This window comes from Homo sapiens, chromosome 7 (genome assembly GCF_000001405.40).
Source record: "Homo sapiens chromosome 7, GRCh38.p14 Primary Assembly".
Lineage (NCBI taxonomy): Eukaryota > Metazoa > Chordata > Mammalia > Primates > Hominidae > Homo > Homo sapiens.
Window position 1 is genome coordinate 52,831,972 of NC_000007.14, and position 22,530 is coordinate 52,854,501.

General features: G+C 36.7%; 1 long non-coding RNA gene across 1 annotated transcript; it reads left to right on the forward strand.

The window, feature by feature from the left end:
• Nucleotides 1-7,765: 7,765 nt before the first annotated feature.
• LOC124901805 (uncharacterized) lies at nucleotides 7,766-13,050 on the forward strand. The gene is made up of 2 exons (XR_007060629.1): nucleotides 7,766-7,842; nucleotides 11,497-13,050. It is a non-coding gene; the product is annotated as an uncharacterized LOC124901805 (long non-coding RNA).
• The last annotated feature ends 9,480 nt before the right edge of the window (nucleotides 13,051-22,530 follow it).

A 22,530-nucleotide genomic window follows, 5' to 3' on the forward strand; every position in this document is an offset into this window, starting at 1 on the left:
TTCTTTTACAAGAGCTGTGGTGTGTTTTCTAGGGTTCTGCAGACTCAACGTCACAATTCCTTTCAATGAATCCAAAGAACAGCAACAGTTCATTCTGTCTCTAAAAATTACCTGGATTTGGGCAGGAGTGAATTCCTATTTTGCATTAAAAAAATATTCTGTCTCCTATCATTACCTTCAAAATTCATATTGAAAGCCTATTGTGAAAATGCTGTAAGACTTCATATAATACCATGCACTGTGTATGAACTATAAACAGTAATTGTTAATGATAACATGAGCTCCAAAAGTCCCAGTTCTTTTTCTGGGAACTTGAGGGCAATTGTGATGCCAGTACCTTTGATCTGCTATCTAAGAATCATTATAGCAAATAAGCTGGGAAAATGTGGAGATGCGATCTTTTGTCAGAGAAAGAATATAAAAGCAACTTCTGTTTCATGAAACTGGTTGACTGTTCAGACCACGGTGGAAGTCGTCCCTCTAGGAGGGAGGAAAATGAATACCAGCTGGAATATTTAAGATTGCCCTAGATTTTCATTTCCAATAAGGGGATAAAATTACTTTCCCTTTGGCAGGAACAACATTTTCTAAGCTAGTTACTGCTGAAGGTTTTGTCCTTCCGAGATTCCTTCATGCTTTCGTGCAGCAAGCAACAGGCTCCATATTAAACTGTGACCCTCAGTCTAAGAGGAATAAATGCACCTCCCCTGCAACACTGCCTTCTTCCCCCCATATTCTGCTCACCTCAGTGAGGATCCACAATAATAAATCACTCTGTGCTCAAGACTGCCAGGGTGAACAATACATCATAATAATTCTCCTACCGTTCAGAAAGTTCTCAATTCTTAGAAGATTTTTAATCACAGTGGAAACACAAGGGTGTTAATGAGGTCTATAAATTAAGTTAAAGCAGGGTAATTATGTCCTATGTTGCAATAAAGGCTGGGTGGCCAATATTATTAAGGCAAATTAAACACTTTCTTTGATTGTGAAGATAAATTGAATAAAAATATTACTGTAAACAAGGGGGTCTTTTGTTATGTACACATTAATTATGAAGTGGAAACTGGAAATGCTGCCCAGGCTTTACCTGAGCCTATCCATGGCTGAGATTCTTGAGATGCGTGAGCAGCTGTGTGTGGCACAGGGAGGAAAGGAGGGGCAGCATTTACACCAGCGCTGCACCCCAGACCGCAGTCTAGCAGAATACAGTCACCTCATCTAGCTCAGTCACCATGCCTGCATCTTTTTCAGATAAGCATATTTACTTTGTAGATTTCTTATTTGAGATTATGATGAGCATGTGACACAGATATTCTAGCACGTTAATAAATGAAGTAAAGAAAAAAGAAACAAGAAAAGGCTTGAAGATGCTCTCTCCCCAAGTAATTATTTAATCACTTTAAATATTATTATTTACTATAAATATGATACAAATGGTGAATATGACAAAATCTTCCCAATATCTCATATTTTGGATATATTGATAATATGCTAATATTGTTCTATTGCTTTATACCAATGGCTTCCTTGAATAAAACAACCCTACAAATCAAGTACTACTATTTTCAACACAGAGAAATGGAGACTGAGGCAGAGATTAATTGCATAACTTGTCAAAATTATAACTAATGCTACAGCATGCATTTAGATTCAAGCATAAAACTTTTCCATTCCAAAGTCTATATTCATAATCATTGCAAAACATGGCTTATCAATCACTTCCCACCACGTGAAAGAAAGCCCCTTACTATACTGGAGCAAGAGTAAGCAACAAGAGAGGGAAAGGGAAAGCCTACAATCTCTGATGAAAACTAGAAATTAAAACCACAGAAGTTGTTTAAGTATCAAGCAACAATATACTGAGAAACCCAGTTAGCCAAACAGGGATTGGCAAAGATTTATTTGTATGAAGGACAAAAGTGTTAGTATTCTTTTTTCTATTTCTGCAATGCTTTTGAATACAATGTACAGAGAGGCAGTTTGGTAAGGTTAGTAAGAGGACCAACTAAACAGTGCCAGGATTCCAGTCCTACTTCCCTTTTCACAACTGTAGGGTGTTGGGCACACTAGTAATCTTAGTCTTCCCTTCCTCATATGTAAACTGGATACAACTTTGATACTCCACAGGCTGGTGGGAAATTTCGATTAGTTAATAGATGTAAGGCACTGAGAAGGCGGTGTACATATGTCTGTTATATTAGTATTAGATGTTTTAATTTTTAAGAATCCTACAAGAACTTTTTTTTTCTGGTAGGGCTCTGAAGAATTTCAGTGCTTTTCCTAAAATTATTTTTTTTCTTTTTCTGTATTTTATTTCATTAGAAATGGTGGAATGTCCATATCTCCCTCTTTTTTTGGCTATAAATATTAAAGACAAATTTGTGCTCAATCCATATGAGGTGTGTGGGCTCATACTTGAGGGCCATCTGGCAGCATTTCTCACAGGAAAAGAGACAGACATGACTTATCCTATGAATGAGAGGTGCCCCTTCCCTTGTTTACTAATCTCCCGCATCCATTTGGAGTCTGCACACTGAACTGAGGAGGGTCTATCCGCATAGAGAGTGACCTACTTCTCCCTTCTTTCAATGGCAATTTTCAAATTAAATCTCAAGCATATCAGATGAGAAGTATGCAATTTTGTACAGGTCTTTTTTTCTCTACACTTGTCCCGTTGTATTTCCTCATCAACCTCTCAACCTCTCATCTATGCTATTGTATTATTCAGCATTCTACAGAACCAGAGAATATAACTAGAGATCTATAGAAAGAGATTTATTATGAGCAATTGGCTCACACTCTTATGGAGACAGAAAAGTCCCACTATCCACTGTCTGCAAGCAGGAGACCCAGAAAAGTGGATGTTACAGTGACAGTCCAAGCCCAAAAGTCTGAGGACCAGCTGAGCTGACGTTCAATGACAGGGGAAGCTGGATAGCCCAGATCAAGCAAAGAGGAAATGTGCCCTTCTCCTTGCTTTTTGTTTTCTTCAGTCCCCAAAAGGATTGAATCATGCCTGCCCATGCTGGTGAGGGCAATCCTCTTCACTCTGTCTACTGATTCAAATTTTCGTTTTTTCTGGAAACACTCTCACAGACACACCCATAAAGTATGTTTTATCAGCTGTCTGGGCATCCCTTAGCCCAGTCAAGTGGACACCTAAAATTAGTCTTCATAGTCTCCCTTGAATCAACATGAGAATGTAAGCTACACGAGGGCAAGGGTTATTTCTACTTCGTTTAGTGCTATATCTCCACATCCTAGAATGGCTTCTCACATGTAGGCTTTTAATAATATTTACTAAATTAATGAATGTTTAATGATCATGTATTTTTACAACCTCCCTTAAATAATTTTGGAAATAAGATGAGATATAAATATATAAATAAGTAATATACTGCATTGCACATAACAGCAAATATTCTACATACTTGGCATGCTCCCCCAATTCCTCCCTTATACACACATGCACCTGTATATACCTAGGAACTGTTAACTCCAAGTAGAAAAATAATAATTAGGTCAAAACTTTATATCTGGGTATTATTAAGGTATTAATGAGAAGCCTAAATAATACAAATTAATAATATATTTAAATCAGCATAAAGTATAAGCTTTTTAATGTTTTAAGCTTAATCTATACATGAGAAAATTGAATGACATATACATTTGATTTCCAAAGAAAATGAAAGTATTCACTATGTTGGCTTTGCTTTTAGTGAGTCTCAGGCCATGCAAATTAAGAGAAAATAATCTCTTCTCTCTCTCTGACAGCCAGGTTCATGGAGCTTCACCGCCCACTGGTCCCATACCACCCACTGGTCCCATACCATGATGTAGCTACTGGGGTTGTGACAAATGTCTTAGAAGATCCAAGTTTTAATTAGCACAATTATAAATTGATGATTTCAGGTATTTATGATTTTTTCATTCATATTAATTTTTAAGTTCTTATTTCATTTTTTCCCTATCAGCGCTTATGGAAAACCAACATCCAATCTCTCTGTCTGCCCCTCAGGACTGGAATCTGGTGAGGAGGAGTGAAGACACGGAGAGTCCAGCCTGAAGACATGAAGCAGAGGCGTCACCAAGGCACCCTGTTCCTCCAGTTGATAGAAAACACATTCTGTGTTTCTTTTATCTGCTTTTTCCTGCCCACATCCTCACATACTAACTGGTTTGAATGCAAGGGGAAAGAGAGAAAATTACATCTGAGGTGTATTTTAGTCCATGCTGGGGCAAGGCAGGGATGCAGAAGTGTATTTCTCTACTTCATCCTTCATCCAGCAGAGTTGGACAAGGATTCTTCTGGAGTTTAAGGCAAGAATCATCACTGAGATGTTTTTAATTGTAACCTTTCTTGCACTTGCCCTAAGATCATATATTTCCCCTAGATAATGGGTATAGAGGATGGGTGGGCTAGGGCTGGACTTTGGCTTCTGATAATTTGTGTTCTCTTCAATTTCTGTAATCTTTATTTCCTGGCCTTTCCCAGCATTCTTCTTAAGTACTGATTTGATATTACCCTTAATATTCACTTTTTCCATTTGAATGCTTTTATTTCTTCTGACAATTTTTTATTTTATACCAAATGTAAAAGATGTAAGAAATTTAAGAGATCTCCAAATACAAATGATATCAATTCCTTTCCAAGAGCATTATCGGGTTATGGGTTTACATGCATTTTACAAAGTGTTTGGCCAAGTTCATTATATTTTCTTGCATAAAATCAGTGGGGTAGAAGGCAGTGTGTCTGGAAGAGCCCAACAAGGCTCTCCCCTTTGCTCTTTTGAATTGGGCACCTTCATTAAGTTCCAGGGACATACTGATTAGATTAGAGGCCATCATTAGAGTTTTAGATTGCAATGCATGAAACAAATTATGTTGGTATACAGTTACAGTAAGGCAGGTTTAACAAGATGAATATTAAATCTTATAAACTATCTTAAAGGTTAGGTGGTAGCCACATCCACAATTCTATCTCAGTGTTTAAAACAAATTCCACCAGCCGGGCATGGTGGCTCATGCCTGTAATCCCAGCACTTTGTGAGGCCAAGGTGGGCGGATCACTAGGTCAGGAGATTGAGACCACCCTGGCTAACAAGGTGAAATCCCGTCTCTACTAAAAAAATAGAAAAATTAGCCGGGCGTGGTGGTGGGCGCCTGTAGTCCCAGTTACTCAGGAGGCTGAGGCAGGAGAATGGTGTGAACCCCGGAGGCGGGAGGCGGAGTTTGCAGTGAGCCGAGATTGCGCCACGGCACTCCAGCCTGGGCAACAGAGCGAGACTCCGTATCAAAAAAAAGAAAAAAAAAATCCACCATTTATTATTTATACAGTTTTTTGTTTTTTGGTTTTTTTTTTTGAGACTGGAGTCTTGCACTGTTACCCAAGCTGGAGTGCAGTGGTGTGATCTCAGCTCACTGCAAGCTCTGCCTCCTGGGTATTTACACAGATTTAAGAGGAAGTATGAAGAATTATGAACCCATTATATTGTCTCAAAATACTGGGTTAAGACCCTCACACAAAATTATGGCAATGAAATCTGTACTCGCATTGACTAATGTAATCAGAAAGTGCTATTCAAAACATGGAAATGGATTATCACCCTCTACTCTGCCTCAGTCATACCTTTCCTATGGCATGCCTATGTTTTCTAGTCAAAGGCCACCAGGAACACACTTGAGGGTGAATAACTTGAGTTTGTTATTTGTTACAGCAAAGGAAAACACACACCGATGGGAGACGTAGGGAATTTCTGTAGGAGGATGATAGCAAGAACTTATTAACTGTAGTCACTATGCTGTCCAATATATCACTGAAACTTATACCTGTCTATCTGAAAGTCTGTACCCTTTGACTAACATCTCCCTTTCCCAACCCAGGCCCTCCCAGCCTCTGGCAACCGCTATTCTACTCTCTACTTCTATGATTTCAACTCTTTTAGATTCCACATGTAAATGACATCATGCAGTATTTGTATTTCTGTGCCTGTCTTATTCCTCTTAGCATAATGTCCTCCAGGTTCACCCATGTTGTCAAAAATGATGGGACTTCCTTCTCTTTTAAGGCTGAATAGTATTCCATTTAGTATGTATACCACATTTTTATCCATTTATTTGTTGATGGACCCTCAGTTTGCCTCAATATCTTGACTGCTGTGAATAATGCTGCAGTAAACGTGAGAAAGCAGGTATCTCTTTTACTGTATCATAAAGATCAGGGCAGGTAGGAAAGTTAGACACCACTTAGTCAATAAAACTATGTCCCAAATTAATGCCTTCCTCAGATTACCCTCTCCCTCACAGTTAATTCCTCCATTCTCTTCCTTTCTGATGCATCTTGAAGAAATACCCAGTATTACATATTCCCCTGTGTCATCTTAAATTCTGTATCAATCCATCTCTCAAGCTAATTGCAAAACCCCTCAGGGCATGTGCACAAGGGGTGTCATCCCAGCACCTAGTGCAGTGTCTGACACATGGACAAACATGTCTCCTCTTTCTAAATTAAATGTTTTCTTCATTTATTGGTTTTTCTTCCTGAAGCCAAATGTATGGATTTATGTTTATCATTATTAACTATTATTAAGATATTGCTCTTTACAACAAAGTGTTTATGTATTTTTAAATCCCACCCTATCTAACATAACAGAGTCATGATCAAATTATCAACTCCAATTGCTTTTTGCAATTTTTCCCTTATACAAGTGGAAATAAATACATCTTCATAGTGTAAATCAAAGACAACCTTAAAGCAAACTTCTTAATTTTTTCTTGCTAGTTGCTATTAATCATATCATCAGAAATTTTTTTAAATTATTTTTCAGCTCACCTATTTTTAAGTGGGTTATAAGTCTCTTAAAATAAACTGAAAGTCTATTTTACCAAAAATTAAAATAACCTATTTCTCTGGCAGTACCCTTATATTCTGTTAATACTACTCTGGGTTTTTTAAAATGAGGTTTTCCTTGTACAATTTGCTAAGCAGTACTAGCTCCTGGAATAAACTGCTATCATTTCTGTGTATCTCAAAGCCTCATTTCATAGTTCATTCTAGTGAGCATGAGAATTTGAGCCAAGGCCTTTGGCCGTTCTTTCCCCTCCAACTCCAAGCCCAGATACAATTATAATCTCCAAAACTAGGAAACAGGAATACTCATGGGCAAGAAACAAAAAAGATTTCTCATAAAGGCATCTGGACCAAGCTGATAAAGTAAAAATAATAAAAAAGGCTAAGCTAAGAATTATTGCTCACTTATGTGTGATGAGTAATGTATTTGGAATTTTAAAAAGATTACTGAGCTCTTACTTGTAGTTTCTCCTTGTCCAATGGCTGGGAATACACTGTTTAGTGGCATCTAGACAAGACCCTGATATTGGAGGGGCTGAGGAACTATGTAAGATACTGAGAGAAAAAGAAAGTAAATTCCTCCAGCTGTGGGAATCTCCTGCAATCAGGAGTAGTGGCTTGGGGAAGTTGCTGGTGATACTCAGAAAACCACGAAGACACCACAGCCCAGCCGTGGTAGTCTGTTCCTTGATGGAAAAGCCTTTTTCTTATTATATGCAGCAGTATGTCAATGGAGATGAGACACAGCCTTACTAGACTCTTCTCTTGGATGCTGAGCAAAGCAAATGCTGAATGAAACAAAAGGTATACAAAACAAAAGCAGTAACCTCTAGGGTGGCTGTTTCATCCACAGACAACCTCACTGACATGAAGCTAGACTGCTGGCACTACCCATGTTTCTTTCTTCCCTCCAGGTTGCCTGGATGAGGAGTGGGGTATGTAAAAGTTTAGCAACCAGCTTTCAAGTGAGTGAAGACCAACAGCAATGGGTAAGTTAGTGAAAAATCTGCAAGGAAAAATCTGCTTAACCTGTTCATGGGAAATAACCCCTTGTTAGTCAAAGATGTGAACACAGAAATGAATAGAGAAATAAACAAATTAAATGTGGAGTTATGGAAAGATTTTGCATCATAAAAGGGGAAACGCTTAAAATATAATGTATTAAACTGAAGCAAGGTGTTGCTAACATTTGCATTATTAAACCTTAATAAAATTGCAGGAAATACACATAATCAATCAACATCTCCACAAGTCCTCCAACCTGTTGGGTAACTCCCTGTATGATACCATAAGAGCCTGAGCTCTTTCTCACCTCTTCATAGCCCCGGGAATTTGAGGGGCAAATAAATTTCTCTTGTAATTTGCATAGATGTTTACATAACTTCTAATATGTGACACTGTAAACACACTAGAATTTAATACTTATAAATGACCTCTAACATTCTAAGATATGCAAACAAAATTCAAAATTTGGGCCAACAGAGGTTGTTTAAGTAGAATGTTGTCTTTCTGTTGTTATTTATTTATTTTACTACAAGATTGACTCTAGAGATGCTCTTAATTCCAATATTAATGATTAATAATAAATTTGCATTTTTAACTGTAAGATTTCAACGTGTATTACACCCAAACACATATACACATGCCTATACATGTGCACACACACAAACACACACACACACAGTACTCCTAGAGGGTTCATATATCAAAAAATACAAAATTAAAAAATCGAAAAGAAACACAAAACTAAAATATAGACCTAGGTGATAGAAAACAAGACTGAATTTCTCTACAAAAGACAGACCCATAAAACTAATTTTAAAAAGACAGGTGTATGCTGGTTGTGAAAGCCACATGTAAAATAAATGAGCAAGGATAATGTAAAAAGGTAAGGTATGATAAATCAGGGAAATGCAAGAGAAATGGGAAAGTGGGGAAAAATGGAAAAAAGATTAATATTATAGTTAAACCCCAAACAAAAAGCAAGATAAAGAAAAACTGGAGCGTATTTAGATAGCTAAAACTTACATTAGACACTGATAATGTAAGTGCCATAGGTCTTTATGCTACATAAGAAGCATCTGCATTAATATTTTATAACCAAACCTCTGTAAGATCATCAAAAATGGCTGTTCAGCTTTTGGTTTCGTGCAGAAAATGCATTGATAGCACAGGTGGGTTGTGGCCTACTGCCAGCAGGCAGACCCCCTCTGCTGTAGCTGGCAGGACATAGGCACTTCTCTACCCCACTTTGCCAGGGGACCTGGGGTTGTAGGAGGGCCTGTTGCTGTCGATCTGGCATACTGTCCGTTTCACTTAATTTTTTCTGTTCTCCCCATGATCATGTCAGCTCCATGATGATAAGATTATTTTTGTCTGTTTTCTGGCAAAGTAAAGAATGGGCCATGATTATTTACTGAGAATGAATAAAAGTGTGTGTTTCTCCACAATTCTCTTCTCTGGTCTGCCCATCGGACACCATCCACATCAGACTAATCCCATCTACCTTCTGGCACTTGAAGATAGTGAGCACATACACGAAAAAGCTCTCCCACCCTCCTTTCATTCAAAATAAATACTCTGCTTGTTTATTTTAATAGACTTTATTTTAAAGATCAGCTTTAGGTTCACAGCAAAACTGAGTGGAAGGTACACAGAGTGTCTATGCATCTCCTGCCCCACATACGGGTAGAATCACCTGTTATCAATACCACTTTGGTTTCTTCGTCATTTGGCATGGATTTGATTTCTGTCCACAGAATATTCTCTATCTTCTTCTTGTGCTTCAGTCAGCATTGACCCAAATCTGATAACAAAACACAGTAGAGACACTGGGAAATGCATGCAACAAATGCTTAGGTGTATGGAATATAAGCTTGATTCATGCACATTTTATTTAGCAAAGCATTTAATGCTTTTTAAAAAACTATTCAAGATCATCAAGTTTAAAAGTGACCGATGTAGATTATGAGTTGATCTTTGTTTTTTCTAGCATAATGCTGTCTCCTGAAAGCTGTAAGGGTCCTCATCTCTAATTTTTCGTGATTCGTAAAACAAAGATTGTATCCTCCTTCCTCTTAGCTTTTAATATTTCAGCTAGAAAATAACATGGCTCTTATTGTACACATGTGTCTACCATCACATAACTAGCATCTGCCTTATCTTCATATAAAATAGTAAACTATCACTTCAGTTCCTCTCCTGCATGAGCTTTTCCATTCCATGGAGCCTGAGAGTCCTCCTGTCCCTGATTGGCTTCACTTGCCGGATGCAAGTCAAGAGACCCTTATAGCAAGTGGATTTTTTTACTTTAAAAATATATGAGCACAGAATATGTTTAGCCAAATAGAGGAAAGAGACAGATCAACCGTCTCAACTTGCAGAAGATGCAAAATGAACATTCACCACACTGATCTCTTATTGCCTCTTTCAGGAATTTTATTTGTTGGTAGCCTAAGGCAATACACTTGCTGCTGTTTTTATTACTTACTTCAATCAACAACCTGTTTCACTGCACATTGTGTAGATCTCAAATTGCACCCCAGATATGGAACCATGAATGTAACCAGTCCCGGATGCAGCCTCCGCCTCCGGGCAGACCTGTTTTGAGGATGCCTCGAATGAGGTAATGCAGGCCCTCAGGAATTGCTTGTGTTCTCAAGGTTTTCTTGGGAAGTTTCACATTTTTATATCAGCTTACAGAGTTTTTTTGGAAGCACTGGGAACAGTTAGACACAGTGCTGAGCTGAGCATGTTAACCCCCTTACTTTTAGAAATAAATAAGCTTAACACTCAGGGAGGTCTCTGTGCAATGTTCCACATGTCTGCATCACATGTTGCCTGTTATTGCCAGACCTGACAGGTGGGTCACAGGGCTGCTTCCCATCAATTTATACAAGGTTTAAAGGGATTTTTACATAATGCCAACACATGTAGTTTTTATTGGATCAAACCCTGATGATTACATTTGCAATTTAATTAAGGCAGGCTTATTTTTAGAGTTTGCTTTGAAAGACTGGTAGGAAGAGAGGTATGTTATTTCCTCTTACCACACAGGAAAAAGCAACAAATCAAAGTCATTAAGAGAAGGACAGATAGGTAAATGATTCTAGAATTAAATATAGCATTGAGTTTCACTTATATTTTCATTGTTTAGGGAAGGACAACACAGCCTTTTTACCCTTCCTTTGCTCCCTCTCATGAATAAGTTAGGTTTTGATCGACAATAGAAAACTGGGGAGAGAGGCTGAACAGGACACTGGATAGCACAGCAGGCTAAGCTGTGCTTCTTTCTGAAAAAAATTTTCCTCTCCCCTTTAAGAAGCCTGGCCCTACTGTCCACTCTGACTAAGTGAAATCTCCTTCTTAAGGAGAAGTATTTACATTCAAATGACTTTTTAAAAATTATAACCACTACTCTCTATAAAATACAAGCCTTTGTCTTTTTACAAAGGCTATTTAACAAATCAGAGAAAAGATTTGGACAGAGATATTTTCTGGCAGTCTTGAAATTAAAGCAATTAGGCAGTGGCCTGTTCTTCTAATTAATGGTGGACATGACTATTTGGGCTGGCCTAAGAGAAAATCAATTAAATGTCCAGTGAAGGTGATAATGAAATCGTTTTTCTGGATTCCTTTTACAGGCTCTGCAGTAGAGATTCATCCTCCATTTTGACTGCACACAGTATCTTTTGAAAACCACTCCTGTATTTTCATTTTCCTCACATTATGAGCACACCTCCTCTCTGAGAAAAGCCAGGAACTACATTTTCAGATGCTTCTCATCTTGGATGCCTGATGGTGAGCTGGTCTGGCCACTCAGATACAAATCACTGTGACATTTCAGTACAAAGTAGAAGGGCATGAAGAAGAAGGCATATCAGGCAATTGATCACTTCTATCACAGGGGTCAGAGGGACTTCCTTCTCTCAGGGCAAAGGTTGGGGAGTTTCTGGCAGTAGAATCAGCTGCTTAGCAGAGCTGGTGTGTACCCTGTTCTGTGCCCAGCAGTGGCTGCAGTGATGTGTCCATGTGGGCAGAGCCCTTAGAGCACCACTGCTCCACGATGACACAGATGCAGAAGTTGAAAGGAAAGCTGAGAAATCTTTAGATTTTGAGTAATTTAGTATCTTCACACCATCCTACGACATGACTACTTGAACAGGACACCAACTGGCATTTTATCAGACTCACAGGGTGAGCTTCATGTGGTGAGAGCTGTAAACGAGACATGTTCTATGTGGGCTGCGTATGTGGGTTCTATGTGGGCAGGACCATGTTCAATGTGGGCTGCATTTTCAGATAAACTATAATGAAGAAATGTATAACCATCCCAGAAAATGGGTCTTTAATGAAAGATAGATGTTTGGAAAAGAATTGTTTCTACAGAGTGTTGTAATATGTTCTATACTTTACCTACAATTACCTGAATTAGGTGATGATATTGATAGTGTACAACTGAAAAAGGTTATTGCTAGGATATCTAACAAAATTGGATTAAATTTTTAAAACATTTTCATCAAAATTGATTAAATTTTTAAAACCTTTTCATCAAAAAATGCACTTGAAATCAATTTCTTCCATTGGAAAATATTTTAAAGACAACTATAACTTTACAGATTAAATTGAAATTGGCTACTGATGAAGGACTAAAGTTCAATTTTGAAACTACAGCATTGTCTCAGTGGTGACCAACTTAATAAATGAATATTTTGTGTTTGCCAAAATTACTCTAAAATGTCTTTCTTTATTCTAATTTACCTCTGTGAGAGACTTTTTTCTCTAGTATGATTTTCATTAAAACAGAATACAGAAACCGTTTATATATAAATTATTCCTCAAGAGGAAGATTGTCATCAACCAACCTAAAGTAATTCATTTAACTAGCAAGAAGCAAGATTATTCATCACATTAAAAACTTAAATATTGATATACATGATGTTCATTCCAGATGTGAGTGCAGGTGTTTAATATGATGATTGCTAGTTCCTTCAAAACTTTTTGTTTAATTATGATTGTGGAAAAACAAAAAGTTACAAGTAGAGTAATGATTCTCTAAATTAATCACTGATATGCACAACAGCAGTGAAAAGATACGTTTTGAAATTTTTTCTGTGTGACTGCATTATATTTATTCTGATTATATTTATTGAAATGCAATATGTCTGTTGGATCTAATAATAAAAGCTTTGAAATTATATTTTTATGCTTTTCATATTTTGTTTTCTACAAAGTATTTTTATTGTATTTTATAAAAGTATGGGTTCATTACTGATATATATGTATGCCAATACATATTTACATACATATATAATTTTTTGGAAACATATCTGTATATATGTCACCACAGAAATGTTGAGAAGCCCTGTTCTAGAGCCCTCCAAGAACATAAATCACATATGCTTCCTGGCTAGATGGCCCCACTCCTGATTCTATGACCTTCTCGGACATCTATAGGTTGCCCCATCATAGCATTGAATACATTCTCTTTCTGCTCAAAGTGGCTAGAGGGGGCTCTGTGTTTTGTAGCCAAGGCCTCCTCATGGTCGCTCCTCATTCACTCCTCATTCTTTCTTGCCCCTTTCTTAACCTTTCTACACACTGTGGCCTCAGTAATTATTCCCGTTCAAGTTTGATCTTGTCTTCTGTTGAAACGTCTTTCAATAACTTCCCATTGCTAATAAAAAAAAGAAAAACTTCAATATATGACTTACAAGACAGGAATGGTGACTTTCCTTCCTTCTTTGTCACTTTCCAACAACTTCTTCTCTTTTTTTTTTTTTTTTTTTTTTTTTTTTTGAGACGGAGTCTCGCTCTGTCACCCAGGCTGGAGTGCAGTGGCGGATCTCGGCTCACTGCAAGCTCCACCTCCTGGGTTCACACCATCCTCCTGCCTCAGCCTGCTGAGTGGCTGGGACTACAGGCACCCGCCAACATGCCTGGCTAATTTTGTTTTTGTATTTTTAGTAGAGACGGGGTTTCACCGTGTTAGCCAGGATGGTCTCGATCTCTTGACCTCGTGATCCACCCTCCTCAGCCTCCCAAAGTGCTGGGATTACAGGCGTGAGCCACCGCGTCTGTCCAACTTCTTTTCTATGTTGCACCTACATTCGCCTTTTTTTGTTTTCAGTTTGTCCAACAGTCCATACTGCTTTCCACCATAGGGCTGCATTTCCTCAACTGACAGTGAGCTTCCTTTTATTCAGTATTTAAATCCCATTGTTCCTTGAGAGCTCTGTCAAATCCCTTTCTTTAAGGAGGCACTCTAAACAGCTGAGTCTGGTTCACAACTTGTTTCGAGTTTGTGTAGTATCGCACATGTCCATTTCATATTATTTGAGGAAAGTAGTTTGTAAAAACACTTGCATCTTCTAGGACAGCGGTCTCAAAACTTTTTGGCACCAGAAACCAGTTTCATGGAAGACAATTATTCCATGGACAGGGGGTCGAGGTTGGTTTTGGGAAGAAACTGTTCCACCTCAGATCATCAGGCATTAATGAGATTCTCATAATGAGCATGCAACCTAGATCCCTCGCATGTGCAATTCACAATAGGTTTCACGCTCCTATGAGAATCTCATGCTGCCGCTGATCTGACAGGAGGTGGACCTCAGGTGGTAATGCTTACTTGCTCACCACTCACCTCCTGCTGTGTGGCATGGTTCCTAACAGGCCACAGACCAGTACTGGTCCACAGCCCAGGGGTGGGAGACCCTTGCTCTAGAGCAAAATAACTTACATAATTGATGCACTGTATTATCCATTGTGTCCTTAGTGCCAAATCCAGTGCAAATCACAAAAAAGAGCACTCAAAAGTCTCAGCTGAATTCCCAACCACACACATGTACTACTGACATAACAGATTGTCAGCCTCTTTGTATGTCAAAGAATATATGTTGGAAAAATCATTTTTGAAGTTTACAAAGTATTTAATTATACAGATATACTGAGTTAGGAGACTACAAAGACTTGTGTTCTGGCCAGAATTCTGCCGACCCAAACAGGGTCTGTTCCCAAGGACGAAGTGAAGATATTAGCAGGAACCAGAAGATGCGCATGAAGGCTGCCCTCATTACTCATTGGTATAAGACACTCCCACCAGTGCCATGACAATTTACAAATGCCATGGCAATGACTGGGAAGTTACCACCCTTTCCCTACAAAATTCTAAATAAACTGCTCTTCAGTTTGCATTGACTTGCACCTTAATTTGAATATAATTGAAAGTTGGTTAATGTGAGTATAAATACAGTTTCCAAGAGCCCATAGGCTGATGACTCTGGGCACACTGCCTATGAGTTTGTCCTGCTCCTCCATGCCCTTGAATTCCTTCCTAGGGGAAGCCAAGAACCTTCCCAAGCTAAGCCCCATTTTGGGGCTTGCCTGTCCTGCTATAATGTTATAAGTTGGCAAATTTTTAACATAGTTAGTTATTTTTAATAATATAGTCACCCCTAGAACCACTACCTACAACAAAAACTATGGAGCCTATTGTCCCATCCCTCTGACACATCCATCAGAGGAGATGATCATCTTAAATTCCATGTTAATCCTCTTCTTCATTTCCATAATTTGATACATTTTTCCCCTTTTTTTGCTGACCTTGATATTGTTAAGGATTACTGGTGAGCTATGTTGTAGAATGTTCCTAGACTTGGGTTTATCTCGTCTTCTGTTGAAACGTCTTTCAATATCTTCCCATTGCTAATAAAAAAAAAGAAAAACTTCAATATATGACTTACAAGACAGGAATGGTGACTTTCCTTCCTTCTTTGTCACTTTCCAACTTCTTTTCTTTTTCTTTCTTTCTTTTTTTTTTTTTCTCATGCTTACACTGGGATTCTGCGTTTAGGGAAGGAAGACCACAAGCATAAAGTGCCATTCAAGTGACATCACATCACATCACATCACATCACATCAAGGCTATGCACTGTCAACATGACTCAGGCCGGGCGTCGTGGCTCATACCTGTAATCCTAGCACTTTGAGAGGCAGAGATGGGAGGATCACCTGAGGTCAGGAGTTTGACACCAGCCCAGCCAACATGGTGGAACCCCATCTCTACTAAAAATACAAAAAAATTAGCCAGGGGTGGTGGTGGACGCCTGTAATCACAGCTACCTGGGAGGCTGAGGCAGGAGAATCACCTGAACCCAGGAGGCAGAGGTTTCAGTGAGCCAAGATCATGCCATTGCACTCCAGCCTGGGTGATAGAGCAAGACTCCATCTTAGGAAAACAAAACAAAAAAGCATGACTCATCATGGTTGGTGTAAAACTGATCACCTGGCTGACATAGTGATTGTCAGATTTCTCCACTATGAAGTGATTAACTTCCACCTTTCCACTCTGTACGGCAGAAGGAAGTTACTGCACCCAACACAAAATTAAGGGATGATGAATAATGCTTCACCTCCTTGAAGGGAAAATGTCTACATATATTATTTAGAGTTTTTCTGGGCTGGTCATGGTGGCTCAGACCCGTAATCCCAGCACTTTGGAAGGCCAAGGTAAGTAGATCACTTGAGCCCAGGAGTTTGAAAGCAGCCTGGGCAACATGATAAAACTGTAGCTCTACCAAAAATATAAAAGTTAGCCAGCCATGGTGGCTTACACCTGTAGTCCCAGCTACTTGGGAAGCTGAGGTGGGAGGATCACCTGAGCCCAGAAGTCGAGGCTACAGTGAGTCATAATTGCACCACTGCACTCTAGCTTGTGTGACATAGTGAGACCTTGTCTCTTAAAAACTAAAATAAAACAAAATCGAGTTTTTCTATATGAGATTTGTCTTTTATCATTCACTTACTAATTTAGTTAAGCATTTATTTATATCAATATGGACTTGTGGATTTTTATTTATATACTTAGTGTTATAATCCAATATTACATACTTTTGTTGCTCAAACTGTTGCAGGTGAAACCTTTTTTTCCCAGGCTCCGTTATTATTCCCTCACTGTTATGTTTGCTTTGTTTCTTTTGGGTACATCCTTATTTCCATTGCTACAAAATGCTTCAGAATTACTGTGTATGTTCCATGACCCATATTTAGGATCAGCCATTTCTTCAGGATCTCTCTAGTTCTTTGACTGGAGAGGGTATTTAGAAACCAATATCTGGATACAGGGTGTGCTTATTTTCATTGTTTCTAGGATGTATCAGCCGGCAACAAAAAAATAAATTTACACATACGAACTCATGAATATGCACATATCTATAAATATTTCTATGTGGATCTATATATATTAAGTTAAACATGAGTTCATAATGATGTCTCTCACTCTAATCCAATACCTCATTGATCATTCCATTCTTTTCCTTTTGATTTTATGTAAGCTTTAACTCCATCAGTGAGAAACCTGGCTCGGATTACCTGCCAATTGTTTACTTATTTTTCAATTTCATTATACGAGTGTTAGAGTTGTTAATCAATATCCCATGAAAAACAATTTGATCTACTATACTACAGAGTTTATATTTAACTTATTTTGCCACTAGTTTTACAGTCTCTACTCACTTCCAGAGTTGCTTGGGTCAGAAATCATGTCTCCATTTCTCTCAGTGAGGTTATTTTCTACATTTATAATGCAATCAGATTATTTTGTCACAATCTGAATTCTATCCTAGCCTTGCTCAAGCTCCTAAATAATTTTCTTTAAATTTCACACATCAATGTCCATTCATATGTGCTATAAAGTTCTATGGGTTTTGAAAAATTCATAATATCATATATTTACCATTTTGGTGTCACACAGAACTTCATCACCCTAAAAAACAAAAATCAAAACAAAAATTCCTTGCACTTCAGCTATTCATTTTTGCAAACCACTGGCTATCACTGATCTCTTTCTGTCATTATAGTTTTGCCTTTCTCAGAATGTCAAATAAATAAAATCATACAACATGTAGTGTTTTCAAGAATGGCTTCTTTCACTTAGAAACGTACATTTAAGATTCATCCATGGTTTTTCATGGCTCGATAGTTTATTCCTTTTTATCCTTAAATGCTATACATTTTCATAGATGCACCATGGTTCATTTATTCATTCATGTGTTGAAGGGTGTTTTGATTGCTTCCTATTTTTGGCAATTACAAGTAAAGTGCTATAAGCATTTGTATGCAGGTTCTTGTGTAACCCAAATTAATCACATCAGTTAGTTAAATACAAAGGAGAAGAAATAGTGGGTCTTAAAGTAAGAGTATGTTTAGCTTTGTAAAAACTGCAAATCTAAAGTGGCGGAATCACTTTGCATGCCTGCCAGTATTAAACGAGAATTCCTGTTTTTCTGCAACTTCACCAGCAATAGGTATTGTCAGTTTTTTTATTTGAACCACTGTAAGATGTGTATAATGATATCTCCTTGTTGCTTTAATTTGCATTTCCTTCAACATAATGTTGATCATCTTACCATATGCTTATTTTGTCACCCATATTTTTTATTTAGTGAAGTATCTGTTCAGAACTTTGTCTATTTTTAATTGAATTATTTCTTGTCTTGTTCCTAAAATTTTGAGTTGTAAGTTTTCTTCTTTATGTATATTTGGATTAAATATGTATTTTGTGATGAATAGTCTTTGTATTGTCTTAAGAGCATCTTTCACAGGAAAGTTTTTAATATTAAAAAAGCCCAAATTATCTATATTTTCTTTAATGAATTATGCTTTTAGTGTTGTATCTTCTTAGCAAAATTATTTAGGAGCTTGAACAAGGCTAGGATAGAATGCTTTTAGTGTTGTTTTTCTTAGCAAATCCAGTGTTATAAATATTTTATCCCATGCTTTCATTTAGAAGTCTTATAGTTTTTAATTTTACTTTTAGGATTATAATCATTTTAGTTATTTTTGTGTGGGATGTAAGGTCTGTGTCTAGTTCAGTTTTTGTACAGAAACATGCAATTGTCTCAGTATCATTTGTTAAAAAAAGAATACTTTCTGTATTAAATTAGCATGCTCTTTTGTCAAAAATCAGTAGACCATACCTAATTCTGGGATTATTCAGTTTGTTGACCTGTGTATCTATTCTTTTGCCAATACCAAACTGTTTTGATTAGAGTAGCTTTAAAGTAAGTCTTGAAATAATAGTAATATTTAAAATAGAACCACAAATTGAAATATTTATGCATAAAATATTAACCTTTTCATTCTGATTATAGCTTCTATAAATACATCTTTTTTTTCAAGACTTGCTTTAAAGCTACTCTAATCAAAACAGTGTGGTATTGGAAAAATAATAGATACATAGATCAATGTGACTTCTCCAACTTGATTATTCTTTGATATCATTTTGCCTATTCTGTACCTTTTACCTTTCAGAATAAATTTTTAAATCAGTTAGTCAATATCTTCAAAATATCTTGCTGGAATTATGATTGAGATTGCATTGAATCTATAAATGGAAAATGGAAAAAATTGACATGTCATCAATGTTGACTTTTAAAATACTTGAACATTGAATATCTCAGCATTTACACATATTCTTTTTGTATTTATTTTATCAGTGTTTTGTAGTTTTCCATACACAGATCATTTACAAATGAGAAAAATAGTATGTCCTGTCAACAGATGCTGAAAAAGCATTTGACAACATTCAACACTCATTTCTGAAAAAAAAAATTTAATAGAAATAGAAAGAAACTCAACACAATAAAGGATATATCCTTAAAACTTACAAGTAATATCATAATTATTGTGTGAAACTGACATTTTTCTCCTAAGATTGGGAACAAGGTGAAGATGTCCTTTCTCACCATTCCTATTGAATATCAAACCAGAAGTGCTATCTAGTGCAATAAATAAGAAAATGCAATGAAAATATATACATATAAAAGAGAAATTAGCAAAATTTTCGTGATTTGAAGAAAACATGATTGTCTAGTTAGAAACCTCCAAAGAATCAAACAAAATGTCCTGGTACTAATAAGCAACTATAGCAAATCACGTGATACAAGGTTAATATGCTTTCCTATATATCATCAACCAACACCTGAAATGTAGAATTAAAAATAATAATAATAATATTCAAATAGAATGAAAAATTGAAGTATGCATAAAACTATTAATCTTTCCATTCTAATTACAGATTCCATATACATACACACACACATATATGCACACATATATTTTAAAATATCTATTAGGTGCATGTATAATTCTATATATTTAAAATTATATGACTGTATGTGTGTGTATAGATATAGAAAGACAGAAGGAGACAGAAGTAAATTTACTAAATCATCTAGATTTTATGCTTTTAAGGGATTATTTATATCATTCTTTAGTATTAAACAGTTTTATGAGTATGTATTATTTTTATTATCCAAGAAATAATAAAGCTATTTTCTAGTTTTAAAAAAGTATGCTTATTACTCCTCTGAAAACAAAGATAATACTAAATGAGCATTATTTGACTCCCCCTTTTCCTCTACTTCTTATTTTTATGCATTAGTTCTTTTCGTAATTATATTGAAAACCAGAAAAATAAGCCCAATTCTCTGTTTAATTGCTTCCAATACTCACCATCTGTCTTTGAATAACTATTTATTAATTCTTGACATAGTTTGAGGTGTTAAGAAGACTCAGAGAGAATTTAGTAGCTCTGAGTTTATGCTGGAACCCGTTATCAAATAAACTTCTCTTCTTCCAAAGCAATCAAGAACAGTGTGGACTTGTGAAAATATTCTCTAATAAATCAAAGAAGAAATACTATATATGCACTCCTGAAGTAGGACATATTTTTGGGGAAATTATTTTTTAAGGAAAAAATAAATTTAATTACTATTTGCAGTGTGAATTTAAATTAATTTTATGGAACAGAGAAAGTGAAAAATGTGATGAAAAGTTGACTTTTTAAAGTGAAAAGTAGGTGGCTGAGAAACAAGAGCAGAATCTGTTTGCACTAGGGAAACGGGAGCAAGATCAATACGATGAGAACGTTATCAACAACTGGAAGAGATATGAGACATTCTTAAAATTTGAAAGAAGAGTACAGTGGAGCTAAAACAATGAAAAACAAGAAATATGGAGGAAAAATATTAATAACTGAACTCCAAAAGAAGACGTGAGAATAATAAAACAGAATGAACTAAGGCAAAATAGCCCCCTTTCTTCCTGAGGCATGGATTTGCAAATAGAAAGCAAGTGTCTCCAGAGCCCCCGAGAAACTTCTCTCTTGTGGGTATGTGTATATGTACACACAAAATACTTTCACTTGTGCACAAAAATCCTGCGAAGTCATGTGCTGTTAAACTGAACATTTATTTCTGTTAGTCTTAAAAGAAAAAATTAGGATGAATAGTTGAATCAAGTGATAAAATTTTATCAGTGAAACGAGTTTTACATAAGTAGTAACCACTCAAAGGGAACTTCAGCTGAGTTTGTTTATGTAATGTAGTTTCCCACGCTTATCAAATTAGAAAGAGGAGGGTTGACAGAGTGTGCTTATTGGTGTGGGAGGGATACAAGAAAAGCAGTAGAGAGTGGGTGATCTGTTTTTTAGGTTCAATTCAAATCTGTTTGATGATTTTTTCTTTGTGGCGTTTACACAAAAGCAAGTTCCTTCTATCTTCAAATGATTTAAAAATTTGAATCAAAAACCCCCAGAAAACCAGGAATATCAAAGTTGTTTTTGTCATCTGTTTATGGTCCTGATCCATTCTGAAGCTGCCACAGAAGAAGTGAAGGCATTTTCAATCCACGTGACAACCTTTTTAAGGCCTGTGGTCACCTTGCACTCAAACTGCACTTATATAAAACACTCTGGGGGTAAATTAGAGGCTAAACAGTAGAGGGCCTAGAAATTTGTGGAAAGAGTGTATGCCTACAACAAGATTCCAGAAATGCTGCACCTCCACCTCCCACATTTTTATGTGTGTCATGAAAATGAAAAAATTAAAACTTTTTTCATATGATTTGGTCTCACTGGAAATTGTTAGAGTGAGTTCATTGGTGAATGTGTCTTTTTGTGAAATAATGGCCACATATAACACTCTATTTATGTATTTATTTATTGTGTTTTGGAATGGAAAAGTTACTATATACCAAAACACAGTAATATGAAAATGGTATAATTCTTCAATAGCTATTGTGAGAAAACATTGTAAATTACATAATTTTTTTTTCAAAAAAAATCTGATCTTTTATTTACTTATGTAATATTAAATGTAACCACTTAAGATGAAATCAATTCTATCATGCTAATTCATTGTTTAGATTTTAAATGGGTTTTTTTAAGTCTTTTTTGTTTGTTAATTTGTTTGTTATTTTTTGTTTGAAGAAGCAGGGTCTTGCTCTGTCACCAAGGCCAGAGTGCAGCAGTATGATCATGGCTCACTGTAACTTCAAACTTCTGGGCTCAAGAGATTCTCCCATCCCAGCCTCCCAAGCAGCTGGGAGTACAGGCATGCACCACCATGCCTGGCTAATTTTTAATTTTTTTGTAGAGATGGGGTCTTGCTTTGTTGCTGAGGCTGGTCTTTAATTCCTGGGCTTGAGCCGTCCTGTCACAGCCTCCCAAATTTCTGGGATTACAGGCATGAGCCACCACACCTGCCCAATTTCAAATGTTTATATTTTAGTTCTGAAACTTCCTTTAGACATAAACAACAAAGTTTTGGCTATCACCTCTCTTCCTATCATCTTCAGATGGAACAGTGACACTTCAAGTCTTTGTAGTTCCCAAGATG